At 38.1% G+C, this 17,210-nt stretch overlaps 1 long non-coding RNA gene across 1 annotated transcript, besides 1 other annotated feature; it reads right to left on the bottom strand.

Moving 5' to 3' along the window:
• Positions 1 to 6,231: 6,231 nt before the first annotated feature.
• LOC101928495 (uncharacterized) lies at positions 6,232 to 12,032 on the bottom strand. Its single transcript, NR_110409.1, has 3 exons — positions 11,990 to 12,032; positions 11,646 to 11,880; positions 6,232 to 6,592 (listed from the first exon to the last, which is right to left on the bottom strand). It is a non-coding gene; the product is annotated as an uncharacterized LOC101928495 (long non-coding RNA).
• Positions 11,955 to 12,509: an enhancer, noted in NCBI's record as "NANOG-H3K27ac-H3K4me1 hESC enhancer chrX:125243268-125243822 (GRCh37/hg19 assembly coordinates)". NCBI's record gives its function as "activates a minimal SCP1, AML or CMV promoter by ChIP-STARR-seq in primed H9 embryonic stem cells {active_cell/tissue: H9 hESC(primed)}" and the evidence as "EXISTENCE:reporter gene assay evidence [ECO:0000049][PMID:30033119]".

Here is a 17,210-nt window from a genome sequence, read left to right as displayed (position 1 = left end):
AATCAAATTAGAGGTGATAACAATTTTAAATACATATGAACCTAATATTGAAACACCCAAATTTCACAAAACAAATATTACTAGGCCTAAAGAAAGTGATACACAGTAATATAAGACTAATATGGGCCTTCAATGCCCCTCTGACAGCACTAGACAGATCACTGAGACATAAAATTAACAAATAAACATTGGGCTTAAATAGGACTTTAGACCAAATGGACTTAACAGACTTCACAGGCATTTATAGAATATTCTATCCAAAAAGTATAGAATATACATTCCTTTAATCAGCACACAGAACATTCTCCAAGACAGATCAAATGGTAGCCTATGAAATAATTTTTAACAAAAATTATATCAAGTATATTCTTAGGCTACAGTAAAGTAAGTAAAGAGGACTTTGTTTGGCACTTAATTTACTAGCTTGGCCACAGGGGATTCTTATTCTGGAACTTGACTCTTGGGTAGCATTTCTGGATCTGCCCCGGGTCAGAGGAAAGCCTGATACCCTTAAGAGTGAGTCCAAGGCCAGGCAACATTCACCGCAAGGTGACTTAAAAGCCCCTTGGCCTGAAGGGAACATTGGCAGTAGTCTAGCACTACTCTCCATGGCCCGTAGTGGTGACGGCTATGGGTGAGTCTCTTCTGCTCTTGGAAAGGAAATGAAAGAATGGAAAGAACTGCATCTTGTGGTTTGAGTGCCAACTCAACCACAATACAATAGAAAACCAGGTAGATATTATGTCTAAGGCTTTTGACTCTAGACATTGACTTTCAGACAGCATGTTTGGATCCACCTGGGGCCTGGGAGAACTCACTGCCCTGAAGGGAAGCCATGGGTGTTTCTGGCTTTGCCCTCTATTGATTGTACAGCTTGAGGGCTGAGGGCCTCGAGCAAACATAGTCAGCAGCCAGGAAATGGTTACAGCTGGCCTTGGGTGAGACCCAGTGCTGTGATAGCTTCAGGTCTTACCCAAAGCAGTCATAGCGGTGATGGCAACAGGGGTGCTTGTCTCACACCATCCCTAGCTTCAAGTGACTCAGGAGAAAGAGGGAGAGAGAGAGAGAGAGAGAAGAGAGACTCTAGGAGAAGGTAAGGGAAAAGAGCAAGAGTCTCTACCTATAAATCCACAGAATTCTCCTTGATTTTGTTCAAGACCATCAAGGTAGTACCTCTATGGGTCTGCAAAAACCACAGCATTGCTGAGCTTGTGGTGCCCCCTAAAACACATATAGCTTAGACTACAGCACTCAAGTCCTTTCAAATATTTGGAAAGCCTTCCCAAGAAGGATAGGTACAAACAAGTGCAGACAGTGAAGACTACAATAAATACCTAACTCTTGAATACCAAGACAGTGAAGAACATCTGCTAGCATCAAGACCGTCCAAGAAAACATGATTTCATAAAATAAACTAAATAATGCACCAGGGACCAATCCTGGAGAAACTGAAATATGTGAACTTGGAGACAGATAATTCAAAATAGCTGGAGGAAACACAAAGAAATTCAAGATAACATAGAGAAGAAATTCAGAATTCTATCAGATAAATTTAACAAAGAAAATGAAATAATTAAAAAGACCCAAGTAGAATTTCTGATGCTGAAAACACAATTGGCATACTGAAAAATACATTAAAGTGTATTAATAGCCAAATTGATCAAGCAGAAGAAAGAATTAGTGAGCTTGAAGATATGCTATTTGAAAATACAGTCAGAGGAGACAGAATAATAATAATAATAATAAAACGAAGCACACCTATAAGATCTAGAAAATAGCCTCAAGAGGAAAAATTTAAATCTGCATAGAAATAGAAACATCAAAAATTTAAAAAGGTAGGGGACAAATTTGAAAAGTACAACCCCCTCCAGGCTGCTTTCATAGACTGGCGTTGAGCATCTGTGCCTTTTCTAGGCAAATGTTGCAAATCATCAGTGGATCTATCATTCTGGAATCTGGAGGACAGTGGCCCTCTTCTCATAACTCCACTAGGCAGTTTCCCAGTGAGGACTCCATATGGGGGCTGCAACCTCACATTTCCCTTTCACACTGCCCTAGCGGAGGTTCTCTATGAGGGCTTTGCCCATGCAGCAGACTTCTTTTTTGGACATCCAGGCATTTCCATACATCCTCTGGCATCCAGCTGGAGTTTCCCAAACCTCAATTCTTGACTTTGTGCACCCACAGGACCAACACCACATGTAAGCCACGAAGGCTTGGGCCTTGCACTCTCTGAAGTAACAGCCCAAGCTATATGTTGGCCCCTTTTAGGCACAAATGAAGCTAAAGCAGCTGGCAAGCAGGGCACCATATCGCAAGGCTGTGTAGAGCAGGAGGGCTCTGCACCTGGCCCACAGAAACCATTTGACCCCCTGTGCCTCCAGGCTTGTGATGGGAAGGGCTGTTACCGAGATCTCTGACATGTCCTGGAGACATTTACCCTGTTGTCTTGGTAATTAGAATTTGGATCCTCATTACTTATGCAAATTTCTTGAATTTCTCTCAAGAAAATAGATTTTTTAAAAATCACATCATCAGGCTGCAGATTTTACAAACTTTTATGCTCTGCTTACTCTTGAACACTTTGCTGCTTAGAAATTTCTTCCACCAGATACCCTAAATTATCTCCTTCAAGTTCAAATTTCCACAGATATCTAGGTCAGGGGCAAAATGCCACCAGTCTTTTTGCTAAAGCATACCGAAAGTCACCTTTGCACCAGTTTCCAAGAAGTTCCTCATCTCCATATAAGACCACCTCAGCCTGGACTTCATTGTGCATATCACTATCAGCATTTTGGTCAAAATAATTTAACAAGTCTCTAGGAAGTTCCAAACTTTGCCACATTTTCTTGTCTTCTTCTGAGCCCTCCAAACTGTGCCAACCTCTGCCTGCTATCCAGTTCCAATGTTATTTTCACATTTTTGGGTATCTTTACTTCAGCACCGTATTCCTGGTACCAATTTACCATATTAGCCCACTCTCATACTGCTAATAAAGACATACCCGAAACTAGGTAATTTATAAAGGAAGGAGATTTAATTGACTCACAGTTCAGCATGGCTGGAGAGGCCTCAGGAAACTTACTATCATGGTGGAAGGCACCTCTCCACAGGGTAGCAGGAGAGAGAATGATAGTCAAGAAAAGGGGAAGCCCCTTATAAAACCATCAGATCTCATGAGAACTCACTCACTATCACAACAACAGCATGGGGGGAAACAACCTCTATGATTCGGTTATCTCTACCTGGTCCCACTCTTGACACATGGGGATTATAACAATTCAAGGTGAGATTAGGTTGGAGACACAGAGCCAAACCATACCAAGAGCTGTAGTAAGCCAAACAGCATGGTACTGGCATAAAGTCAGACACATAGAGCAAGGGAACAAAGCATAAAACCCAGAAACAAATGCACACACCAACAATAAACTATTTTCCACAAAGATGCCAAAAATAAACACTAGGGAAAAAACAGTCTCTTCAATAAATGGTGCTGGGAAAACTGGATATGGATATGCAGAATAATGAAACTTGACCCATAACTCTCACAATCAAAATAAATCAGTATTTATTAAATCTAAGACCTGAAACTATGAAAATACTAGAAGAAAACATTGGGGAAACTCTCCAGGACTTTGGTGTCTGTAAAAAATTTCTTGAGTAAAACCCCACAAGCATAGGCAATGAAATAAAAATGGACATATAAGATTATATCATGTTAAAAAGCTTCTGCACAGCAAAAATTCAAGAAAGTGAAGAGAATACTCACAGAATGGGAAAAAAATTTGCAAACTACCCATCTGAAATGAGATTGCTAACCAGACTAATTAAGCATCTCATAGAATTCTATAAGGAAAAAATTGATAATCTAATTTAAAAAGGGCAAAGATGTGAATAGATATTTCTCAGAAGAAGACATACAGTTAGAAAACAGGCATATGAAAAGGTGCTCAACATCACTGATCATTAGGGAATTAAAAATCAAAACTACAATGAGGTGTCATCTCACCCCAGTTAAAATGGCTAATATCAAAAAAAGAAGCAGTAACAAATGCTGGCAAGGATTTAGAGATAAGAGAACCCTTGTACACTGTTTGTGGGAATGTAAATTAGTATATCCGCTATGGAGAACAGTTTGGTGATTCCTCAAAAAACTAAAAAAAAATATAGCTACCAAATAATCCAACCATCCCTCTTCTGAGTACATACACAAAGAAAAGGAAATCAGTATATCAAAGTGATATCTGCACTGTCATGTTTCCTTCAGCAAGGTTCACAATAGCTAAGATTTGGAAGCAACCCAAGTGTCCATTAACATATAATTGAATAAAAAATGTAATACATATACACAATGGAATACTATTCAACAATAAAATAATGAGATCCTGTCATTTGCAACAACATGAATGGAGCTGAAGATCATTATGTTACGTGAAGTAAGGCAAGCACAGAAAGACAAACGTCACATTTTCTCACCTATTTGTGGTATCTAAAAATCTAAACAATTGAACTCATGGACATAGAAAGTAGAAGGATGGCTTCCAAATGCTGGAAAGGGTACTGGGTTTGGGGAGAGAGGTGGGGATGGTTATTGTGTGAAAAAGTAGAAAGAATGAGTAAGTTTATTTGACAGCACAACAGAGTGACTATAGTTAATAATAATTGTGCACTTTCAGGTAACAGAGTGTAACTGGACTGTTTATAACACAAAGGATAGATACTTGAGGGGCTGGATACCCCATTCTCCATGATGTAATTGTTGCTCATTGCATGCCTGTATAAAAACATCTCCTATACCCCATAAATATATACACCTACTATGTATGCACAAAATTTAAAACTAAAATCAAAAAACATAAAATAGGCAAATAATTGTGCAGAACTTAAGTACAAATATCAGCACTCACAACGTGGAAAGGGCTCTTTTGGATAAAAAGAGTAAATTTTTCTTCTGGCCCTAGAAATGAACATAGTACATTTATTTTAAAATTATGAAAATACTTAAAAATAAATTACAGTTAACATTGCATGGTATTTGAAATGATTCAAAATTTTAATTCCATTTGTAGTAGAATCTTCAATATATCCTTGAATTTTTAAAACTTGGTGTATTAGTCTGTTTTCATACTGCTATAAAGAAATACCTGGCTGGGCGCAGTGGCTCACGCCTGTAATCCCAGCACTTTGGGAGGCCGAGACGGGCGTATCACGAGGTCAGGAGATAGAGACCATCCTGGCTAACACGGTGAAACCCTGTCTCTACTAAAAATACAAAAAAATTAGCCGGGTATGGTGGTGGGCGCTTGTAGTCCCAGTTACTCGGGAGGCTGAGGCAGGAGAATGGCGTGAACCCAGGAGGTGGAGCTTGAAGTGAGCCGAGATCGCACCACTGCACTCCAGCCTGGGAGACAGAGCGAGACTCCGTCTCAAATAAATAAATAAATAAATAAATAAATAAATAAATAAATAAATAAATATCTGAGGCTGGCTAATTTATAAAGGAAAAAGATTTAATTGACTCACAGTTCCACATGACTGGGGAGGCCTCAGGAAACTTACAATCATGGCAGAAGTGGAAGGAAACATGCTGTTCTTCATAAGGTGGCAGGGGAGAGAAGAGTGAGAAGTGAAGTGGGAAGAGCCCCTTATAAAACCATCAGATCTTGTGAGAACTCACTTACTATCATGAGAACAGCATGGGGAAAACAGCCCCCATGATCCAATCACCTCCCACCAGGTATCTCCCTAGACAAGTACGGATTATGGGAATTACAATTCAAGATGAGGTTTGGGTGGGGACATAAAGCCTAACCATATCACCTGGTACTGAAAAATATGGCACATGAAGCCATTCGCGTTTAGGATGATCCTATCCTCATCTAAAACACAGAAGACTAAAAAGAATTTGAGTGGATTTTTTCTCAATCTTTTCAAAGTTGGTAAGGAACTAGAACCATTATAGATGCACAGAATATAAGTTGTTTTATTACATGAAAGAGATGTCTTAGGGCATTAGTGTTTAATTCTCTTTCCAGTTTCTAATTAAGAAAGAACAGCAGATATTAATATGAAACGCACAAAATTGGTATCTAATAACCAAAATCAGCCAGCAGGTAAATTTGGATAGGTTAAAAAGCAGGATGGAGAGATTCAGGACTTGGGACATTACCTGGGGAAATTGGACTTATGTAGTTAGTTCTATTATGGGACCCTAAGCAACAAGAGGAAACTAGGCACCATTTGTTTATTTGTTTGACAAATATTTATTTAATACACAACTTCTGATAGGGATTGAGCATAAAAAAGATAATAAGACATAGTTCCCATGCTCAAAAACTCACAATAATTATTACTAAGCAAATACTAAATAAAGTTACATAATTCCTGAATAAAAGTAAATACTTATTAATGTGCTAAATGATTGCACTTGTTTTCTATTTCAGATAATATATGACTACAAATTTAGCAACTTATAATTACACCAATTTATTATCTCACAGTTCTGTAGTTCAGAAGTCCAAGCACATGTTCGCTGAGTCCTCTGCTTAAGGTTTTGCCAAGTTGAAATCAAGGTGTGGGTTGACCTCTGTTTCTATTTGGAGATAAAGATCCTATTCAAAGATCATTGAGGTTTTGGGGCAACTTAAAATCTCTGACAGTTGTAGTACTAAGGTCAATTTTTCTGGCAGGTTGTGAGCCAGGGATTACTCTCAGCTAGTAGAGGCCACTCTAGGGTCTTTGCAACATTGCTCTTTTATACACCTGCTCTCACTCACACTCAGACCTCTGACTTCAGGAACAGACCAGTCCCTTTTAAAGGCTCATATGATTCATTCAATCCACCCAGGATAATCTCTCTTTTGATTAACTCACAGTCAATTGACTGGTAACCTAATAACAGGAGTGATACATCAACACATTCACAGGCCCTGTCCACATTGAAGTGAAAAGGATTATTCAGGGCATATATATACCAGAGGGTAGAAATGTTAGGGTCTTAGAATTCTATGTACTACAGTGGTATAAAGGATATAAATAAATTAAATGTTCAGAACTACAGAGTGAAAGGCATCAAACACTGCTAAGGGCAGGAATGGTAAAGTAGCAGACTCACCTGCCACACTCTACTCCCCTGCCTGTGGCATAATTCCTTTGCTAATGGCCCTAGGCACTTTATCACTAAACTGAAATATGGCTTAGCAATCCATTTGTAACTAAAGAAGCTGAAACTGCTTTTCCAATCTTATGCCAAAGGATTTAGAGAAGTCATTCCAGAGGACTCGATGTTTGTGCCTCTAAAAATGAATAAAAAATCACTTTGTGAAAAAGCAGAGGAAGACAATTCAGGCAGAAAGAACCATATGTACAGTAATATAAAGGTACAGCAATGCATGAGGCTTTTAGAAAATAATAGTTTCACGTATCTAAAGGATAAGGTACAAATAGAAGAGACAGTGTCTGAAATATAGCCTTAGGGCAGACTACAAAGAACCTCATAAATTGTGCCAGTGATTCTATTCTATGGATAGGATAACCATATAATATATTATCTAAATTGGAACACTTTTGAGAGTGAAAGGTGGAATTATTCATGGTGATGCTACATGTATAAACTGGAATTACCCCAAGCAAACCCTACTTATAGCTAACAACGAGCCAACATTTTAATTTTAGAGAGTGACCTTGAACAAGGCCACTTAATAGAAGGTGGATGGAAAATTCATTTTATTCAAATGCATTGCCCCCTTAGGCTGGTCATGCTGCTAATTGCACCAATTTGTTCCATGATCCCTGCTCTTATTGAAGGTTTTCTCTAAATTTTTGGTAATCACAGTGAGTGTTGTGCCAGCTATTTCAGATTATTGCTGAATTAATTCTGGATGATGTGAAAGGCATGCTTACTCTGCTGCAATATTTAGTAAACCATCATGAGGTATTCAATGGAAAATTCAAGGACAGGATGACCATAAACTTATCAAACATATGTTTGAAAATTTTTATATACATATGTAACTAACCTGCACATTGTGCACATGTACCCTAAAACTTAAAGTACAATAATAATAAAAAAAAGAAAATTTTTAAAAAGAATTCTTTTCTTTTTAGAAAGAATGTACTTTTTCTAATTAGAATAATAAATACAGATTTTTCTTTAAAAATCCTCAATTCTGCAATGCTGATAAATTCTGTGCCATTTCGTGAAAACATAACTTTAATAAATAGCTCAAGTCATATAAAAATACAGCAGGAAGAATACTGTTCCTCTAAATAAATACCCTTTAATGAACTGAACTCAGTTATGGTGATACATTTTTAGATTCAGCCATGTAAAATAGACACATGATTCCAAACTCCTTTGAGGTTTTTTATCTGGATGAAAAATGGAAGTTTGCTCTTACCCATTTTTCATCATCTGGAATGACATTGCATGGTTAAATATGACTTAAATTCACCATGTGAATTTGGTAGAGACCATTTCATAATGCAAACCACTAATTATGAAATAAATTCTAGCTTATTTTCTCTAAGGTATGGAATCTCAGTTTATGAACGTCTGGACTTCATAAGTCATTCTCAAAAGCAAAGAGAAATCACAGAAATCTATTTTTTAGACCCCACAGGTCTTCCTTTAATTTTTTAATAAAATAGAAAATATACTTTATCAATGGCAACAAGAAAGTAATTTAAACATTCAGCTTTGCAAAAGGCTTATATAAAATATCAAAAACTTCCAAATGTAACATATTTGTAAAGAGCTGGAGGTAAAGGAGAGCAGAATATGTATAGTAATGATATTTGAGTCTCGAAAGTAGAAAATGACCAAAATATAATTACATATGATACCACCATGCAATTGTCTTTATTTCATCATAAAATAGATCAAAATTTTGGAAATTTAGAGGACCAATTAATTCTCCAAGTAAGACAGTTGTCAGTTTGCCACCATGTTTTCCAGGGAATCTGCCCATTATTTGAAAGCTTTTCTTTTGGATTGTGACAATCAGCAATTTGTACTTCCTATGTTCATAAATGCTTGGGCAATTTTTGTAGTCACATCTTGCAAATTGCAACAAAAATACAATAGATAAATTCCATATAATTGCAAATTTTTGTTCACACAGTGAACACTTCTGTCCACAATTTTTTTGCCTTTTATGTCTTCATATCCATGCATTCATTCAATCATTGGTTTTTGCATCAGTGATTTGTATAAGGAGTATTATAAGGAATAAAATGAGCAAGTTGCTGTGGTGGATACCAAAATATGTATCTTAGTTCTTTAATACAAAACGGGAAGTTTTGGGTAAATAAATAGAAGCACAAATGAAAGTGAGGTAGAAGATCAGCAGAACTTGTTTTCCAAGCACTGGTCACTACCCCACTGATCAAAACAGGATCTGGTCAAAACAGAATGCAGTAAAGAAGCCATCCAAAACCAGGTAAAACCAAGATGTTGATGAAAGCAACTTCTAGTTTCCCTCACTGCTCATTAAATGCTAATTATAATTAATTTTCATGCTAAAAGATACTTCTACCAGAGCCATGACAGTTTACATGCCATGACAATGCCTACAAATAACTTTACATTATATAAAAGGGGAGGAATCCTGGGTTCTGTGAACTCCGCATCCCTTTTCTAGAATATTTATGAATAACCTGTCCCTTGTTTAGCTAGCCAGCAATCCACAAGTGCTGCTCTGTCTATGGGGTAGCCCTGCTCTGTCTATGGAACAGCCATTTTCCTGTACTCAGTTGCTCTAATAAATTTGTTTTAGTTTCACTTAACTCTGTTGGCTCACTCTTGAATTATCTCCTGGGTGAAGCCAAATACATGAACTCTCCCAGGCTATGGCTCAACTTTGGGGTTTGCCTGCATCAAAAGGGGAGGATTCAAGAAAGGTATCATAGGGAAGTTAATATTTAAGTGGAGTATATAGCTTGAGGAGTAATATTTGAAAAAGTGGAGTTAAGACAAAGAATATAATATGCAAAAAAACAGAATCTGGGAATAAAGGGAAGATAGAAATATCAGGACAACAAACGGAACAAAAAATAATCATGTTTGATAGAAAATTTGGAATTCATTTTTGTTGTATGCAGATCAGTGGCAGAAAAGAAGTGTGGAAATGTGGGTTTGGTGCAAATTGGGCAGATTTGAAAGTCAAAATTAGATATTTGTAATTTGCTAAACTTCAGAATATCATCTAAGTATCTTTTGTTGTTAGTTGTTTGTTTCCTATATAAATCATATCTTAAGTCAACTTTATTTAGTACTAACTTGTACATAGAATCCATTATTTTAGAAGTACAATTTGATATGTTTTGACAAATGTATACAACTGTGTAATCACCAATTCAATAAAGACAAGAAACATTCACATCACTTTTTATGGCCTTGTACACTTAATCCAAAGTTTTTCTGCCATATACAGGCAACCTCTACTCTGCTTTCTGTCCCTATAAATTATTTTAACTAATACAGAAATTAATAATAAAATAATACTATTATGTACTCTTTTCTTAATGGCCTCATTCACTCAACTTAACATTTTGAATATTAATCCAATTTATGTAGTGCAAATCAGCAGATAATCCCTTTTTATTCATAAATAGTATCCGATTGTATAGATATGTCACAATTTCAATATCTGTTCACTGGTTGAGGGAGATTTAGTTTGTCTCCAGATATTGACTACTATGAATAGAGCTTCTAAGAATATTTGTGTAAAAGCCTTTCTATTGACATATATTCTTGTGTCGCTTGGGTAAATACCTAGGAGTAAAATTGATGGGTCATATAGAAACTGTATTTTAAATTCATATGTAACTGTCAAGATGACTCTTAGATGGAGTGTATCATGTTAGATTCCCACAAGCAGTATATGAGAGATCCAGTTGCTCCACATCCTTGCTAGCCCTTAGTACTATCAGTCTTGTGAACTGTAGCTTTTCCAATGAGTATATTGTAGTCTCTAATTAGGATGTTAATTTTTATTTCTCTCATGATTAATAATGTTGAGCATTTATTGTTGTGCTTATTAAGCATTTTTACTCTTCATTTGTGAGATAATGTTCACAATTTGCCAATTTTTATGAAGCTATTTATTTATTTGTTTTGCTTTGTAAGAATCTGTTACATGGTTTGGATATAAGTCCGTGGTTAGATACATGTTCTACTAATAGTATTTTTCCCAATCTATATTTCGTCTTTTAATTTTATTAATAATGTCTTTCAAAACTGAATTTTAAAAAAATAATAAAGTCAATTTATCATTTTTTTGCTTTATAATTCCTTTTTGTCTCCTACTTAAAAAATCTTTGTCTACTTCAAAGATTTAGGAATTTACTGAAGCATTTCATGACAGGATATTATTTTTTTTCATAAATATTATAGTTTTGTCTTTTATCATTAGGTATTTGACACATTTGACATCTTTTTTTTTTGTCTATGGCATGGGGTAAGTCAAGGTTAATTTTTTTACATAAGTTATCAACTCATTTCAGTGTGGTTTGTTGAAAATTCAGTTGTTTTCTGTATTAGTTTTTTATTGATGCTGTAACAAATTCCCACACATAGCAACTTAAAACAAGGCAAATGTATTCTCTTACTCTTCTGTAGTTTAGAAATATGACATAGAACTTACCAGACTAGGGTGGGGAGGAGCCAAGATGGCCGAATAGGAACAGCTCAGGTCTACAGCTCCCAGCGTGAGCCACGCAGAAGACAGGTGATTTCTGCATTTCCATCTGAGGTACTGGGTTCATCTCACTAGGGAGTGCCAGACAGTGGGCGCAGGTCAGTGGGTGCGCGCACCGTGTGGAAGCAGGGTGAGGCATTGCCTCACTCGGGAAGCGCAAGGGGTCAGGGAGTTCCCTTTCCTAGTCAAAGAAAGGGGTGACAGACCGCAAAATCGGGTCACTCCCACCCGAATACTGCGCTTTTCCGACAGGCTTAAAAAACGGCACACCGGGAGAATATATCCCGCACCTGGCTCGGAGGGTCCTACGCCCACGGAGTCTCGCTGATTGCTAGCACAGCAGTCTGAGATCAAACTGCAAGGCGGCAGCGAGGCTGGGGGAGGGGCGCCCGCCATTGCCCAGGCTTGCTTAGGTAAACAAAGCAGCCAGGAAGCTCGAACTGGGTGGAGCCCACCACAGCTCAAGGAGGCCTGCCTGCCTCCGTAGGCTCCACCTCTGGGGGCAGGGCACAGACAAACAAAAAGACAGCAGTAACCTCTGCAGACTTAAATGTCCCTGTCTGACAGCTTTGAAGAGAGCAGTAGTTCTCCCAGCACGCAGCTGGAGATCTGAGAACGGGCAGACTGCCTCCTCAAGTGGGTCCCTGACCCCTGACCCCTGAGCAGCCTAACTGGGAGGCACCCGCCAGCAGGGGCACACTGACACCTCACACGGCAGGGTATTCCAACAGACCTGCAGCTGAGGGTCCTCTCTGTTAGAAGGAAAACTAACAAACAGAAAGGACATCCACACCAAAAACCCATCTGTACATCACCATCATCAAAGACCAAAAGTAGATAAAACCACAAAGATGGGGAAAAAACAGAACAGAAAAACTGGAAACTCTAAAAAGCAGAGCACCTCTCCTCCTCCAAAGGAACGCAGTTCCTCACCAGCAACGGAACAAAGCTGGACGGAGAACGACTTTGACGAGCTGAGAGAAGGCTTCAGACGATCAAATTACTCTGAGCTACGGGAGGACATTCAAACCAAAGGCAAAGAAGTTGAAAACTTTCAAAAAAATTTAGAAGAATATATAACTAGAATAACCAATACAGAGAAGTGCTTAAAGGAGCTGATGGAGCTGAAAACCAAGGCTCGAGAACTACGTGAAGAATGCAGAAGCCTCAGGAGCCGATGCGATCAACTGGAAGAAAGGGTATCAGCAATGGAAGATGAAATGAATGAAATGAAGCGAGAAGGGAAGTTTAGACAAAAAAGAATAAAAAGAAATGAGCAAAGCCTCCAAGAAATGTGGGACTATGTGAAAAGACCAAATCTACGTCTGATTGGTGTACCTGAAAGTGATGGGGAGAATGGAACCAAGTTGGAAAACACTCTGCAGGATATTATCCAGGAGAACTTCCCCAATCTAGCAAGGCAGGCCAACGTTCAGATTCAGGAAATACAGAGAACGCCACAAAGATACTCCTCGAGAAGAGCAACTCCAAGACACATAATTGTCAGATTCACCAAAGTTGAAATGAAGGAAAAAATGTTAAGGGCAGCCAGAGAGAAAGGTCGGGTTACCCTCAAAGGGAAGCCCATCAGACTAACAGTGGATCTCTCGGCAGAAACCCTACAAGCCAGAAGAGAGTGGGGGCCAATATTCAACATTCTTAAAGAAAAGAATTTTCAACCCAGAATTTCATATCCAGCCAAACTAAGCTTCATAAGTGAAGGAGAAATAAAATACTTTACAGACAAGCAAGTGCTGAGAGATTTTGTCACCACCACGCCTGCCCTAAAAGAGCTCCTGAAGGAAGTGCTAAAAATGGAAAGGAACAACCGGTACCAGCCGCTGCAAAATCATGCCAAAATGTAAAGACCATCGAGGCTAGGAAGAAACTGCATCAACTAACGAGCAAAATAACCAGCTAACATCTTCATGACAGGATCAAATTCACACATAACAATATTAACTTTAAATGTAAATGGACTAAGTGCTCCAATTAAAAGACACAGACTGGCAAATTGGATAAAGAGTCAAGACCCATCAGTGTGCTGTATTCAGGAAACCCATCTCACGTACAGAGACACACATAGGCTCAAAATAAAAGGATGGAGGAAGATCTACCAAGCAAATGGAAAACAAAAAAAGGCAGGGGTTGCAATCCTAGTCTCTGATAAGACAGACTTTAAACCAACAAAGATCAAAAGAGACAAAGAAGGCCATTACATAATGGTAAAGGGATCAATTCAAGAAGAAGAGCTAACTATCCTAAATATATATGCACCCAATACAGGAGCACCCAGATTCATAAAGCAAGTCCTGAGTGACCTACAAAGAGACTTAGACTCCCACACATTAATAATGGGAGACTTTAACACCCCACTGTCAACATTAGACAGATCAACGAGACAGAAAGTCAACAAGGATACCCAGGAATTGAACTCAGCTCTGCACCAAGCGGACCTAATAGACATCTACAGAACTCTCCACCCCAAATCAACAGAATATGCATTTTTTTCAGCACCACACCACACCTATTCCAAAATTGACCACATACTTGGAAGTAAAGCTCTCCTCAGCAAATGTAAAAGAACAGAAATTATAACAAACTATCTCTCAGACCACAGTGCAATCAAACTAGAACTCAGGATGAAGAATCTCACTCAAAACCACTCAACTACATGGAAACTGAACAACCTGCTCCTGAATGACTACTGGATACATAACGAAATGAAGGCAGAAATAAAGATGTTCTTTGAAACCAACGAGAACAAAGACACAACATACCAGAATCTCTGGGACGCATTCAAAGCAGTGTGTAGAGGGAAATTTATAGCACTAAATGCCCACAAGAGAAAGCAGGAAAGATCCAAAATTGACACCCTAACATCACAATTAAAAGAACTAGAAAAGCAAGAGCAAACACATTCAAAAGCTAGCAGAAGGCAAGAAATAACTAAAATGAGAGCAGAACTGAAGGAAATAGAGACACAAAAAACCCTTCAAAAAATTAATGAATCCAGGAGCTGGTTTTTGGAAAGGATCAACAAAATAGATAGACCACTAGCAAGACTAATAAAGAAAAAAAGAGAGAAGAATCAAATAGATGCAATAAAAAATGATAAAGGGGATATCACCACTGATCCCACAGAAATACAAACTACCATCAGAGAACACTTCAAACACCTCTATGCAAATAAACTAGAAAATCTAGAAGAAATGGATAAATTCCTGGACACATACACTCTCCCAAGACTAAACCAGGAAGAAGTTGAATCTCTGAATAGACCAATAACAGGATCTGAAATTGTGGCAATAATCAATAGCTTACCAACCAAAAAGAGTCCAGGACCAGATGGATTCACAGCCGAATTCTACCAGAGGTACAAGGAGGAACTGGTACCATTCCTTCTGAAACTATTCCAATCAATAGAAAAAGAGGGAATCCTCACTAACTCATTTTATGAGGCCAGCATCATCCTGATACCAAAGCCTGGCAGAGACACAACCAAAAAAGATAATTTTAGACCAATATCCTTGATGAACATTGATGCAAAAATCCTCAATAAAATACTGGCAAAACGAATCCAGCAGCACATCAAAAAGCTTATCCACCGTGATCAAGTGGGCTTCATCCCTGGGATGCAAGGCTGGTTCAATATATGCAAATCAATAAATGTAATCCAGTATATAAACAAAGCCAAAGACAAAAACCACATGGTTATCTCAATAGAAGCAGAAAAGGCCTTTGACAAAATTCAACAACCCTTCATGCTAAAAACTCTCAATAAATTAGGTATTGATGGGACGTATTTCAAAATAATAAGAGCTATCTATGACAAACCCACAGCCAATATCATACTGAATGGGCAAAAACTGGAAGCATTCCCTTTGAAAACTGGCACAAGACAGGGATGCCCTTTCTCACCACTCCTCTTCGACATAGTGTTGGAAGTTCTGGCCAGGGCAATTAGGCAGGAGAAGGAAATAAAGGGTATTCAATTAGGAAAAGAGGAAGTCAAATTGTCCCTCTTTGCAGACGACATGATTTTATATCTAGAAAACCCCATTGTCTCAGCCCAAAATCTCCTTAAGCTGATAAGCAACTTCAGCAAAGTCTCAGGATACAAAATCAATGTACAAAAATCACAAGCATTCTTATACACCAACAACAGACAGAGAGCCAAATCATGAGTGAACTCCCATTCACAATTGCTTCAAAGAGAATAAAATACCTAGGAATCCAACTTACAAGGGATGTGAAGGACCTCTTCAAGGAGAACTACAAACCACTGCTCAATGAAATAAAAGAGGATACAAACAAATGGAAGAACATTCCATGCTCATGGGTAGGAAGAATCAATATTGTGAAAATGGCTATACTGCCCAAGGTAATTTACAGATTCAATGCCATCCCCATCAAGCTACCAATGCCTTTCTTCACAGAATTGGAAAAAACTACTTTAAAGTTCATATGGAACCAAAAAAGAGCCTGCATCGCCAAGTCAATCCTAAGCCAAAAGAACAAAGCTGGAGGCATCACACTACCTGACTTCAAACTATACTACAAGACTACAGTAACCAAAACAGCATGGTACTGGTACCAAAACAGAGATATAGATCAATGGAACAGAACAGAGCCCTCAGAAGTAATGCCGCATATCTACAACCATCTGATCTTTGACAAACCTGAGAAAAACAAGCAATGGGGAAAGGATTCCCTATTTAATAAATGGTGCTGGGAAAACTGGCTAGCCATAAGTAGAAAGCTGAAACTGGATCCCTTCCTTACACCTTATACAAAAATCAATTCAAGATGGATTAAACACTTAAACATTAGACCTAAAACCATAAAAACCCTAGAAGAAAACCTAGGCAATACCATTCAGGACATAGGCATGGGCAAGGACTTCATGTCTAAAACACCAAAAGCAATGGCAACAAAAGACAAAATTGACAAATGGGATCTAATTAAACTAAAGAGCTTCTGCACAGCAAAAGAAACTACCATCAGAGTGAACAGGAAACTTACAAAATGGGAGAAAATTTTTGCAACCTACTCATCTGACAAAGGGCTAATATCCAGAATCTACAATGAACTCAAACAAATTTACAAGTAAAAAACAAACAACCCCATCAAAAAGTGGGCGAAGGACATGAACAGACACTTCTCAAAACAAGACATTTATGCAGCCAAAAAACACATGAAAAAATGCTCATCATCACTGGCCATCAGAGAAATGCAAATCAAAACCACAATGAGACACTATCTCACACCAGTTAGAATGGCAATCATTAAAAAGTCAGGAAACAACAGGTGCTGGAGAGGATGTGGAGAAATAGGAACACTTTTACACTGTTGGTGGGACTGTAAACTAGTTCAACCATTCTGGAAGTCAGTGTGGTGATTCCTCAGGGATCTAGAACAAGAAATACCATTTGACCCAGCCATACCATTACTGGGTATATACCCAAAGGACTATAAATCATGCTGCTATAAAGACACATGCACACATAT

The sequence above is a fragment of the Homo sapiens genome, chromosome X, assembly GCF_000001405.40.
Source record: "Homo sapiens chromosome X, GRCh38.p14 Primary Assembly".
NCBI classification, from domain to species: Eukaryota; Metazoa; Chordata; class Mammalia; order Primates; family Hominidae; genus Homo; species Homo sapiens.
This window is presented reverse-complemented; position numbering and strand designations above follow the sequence as displayed.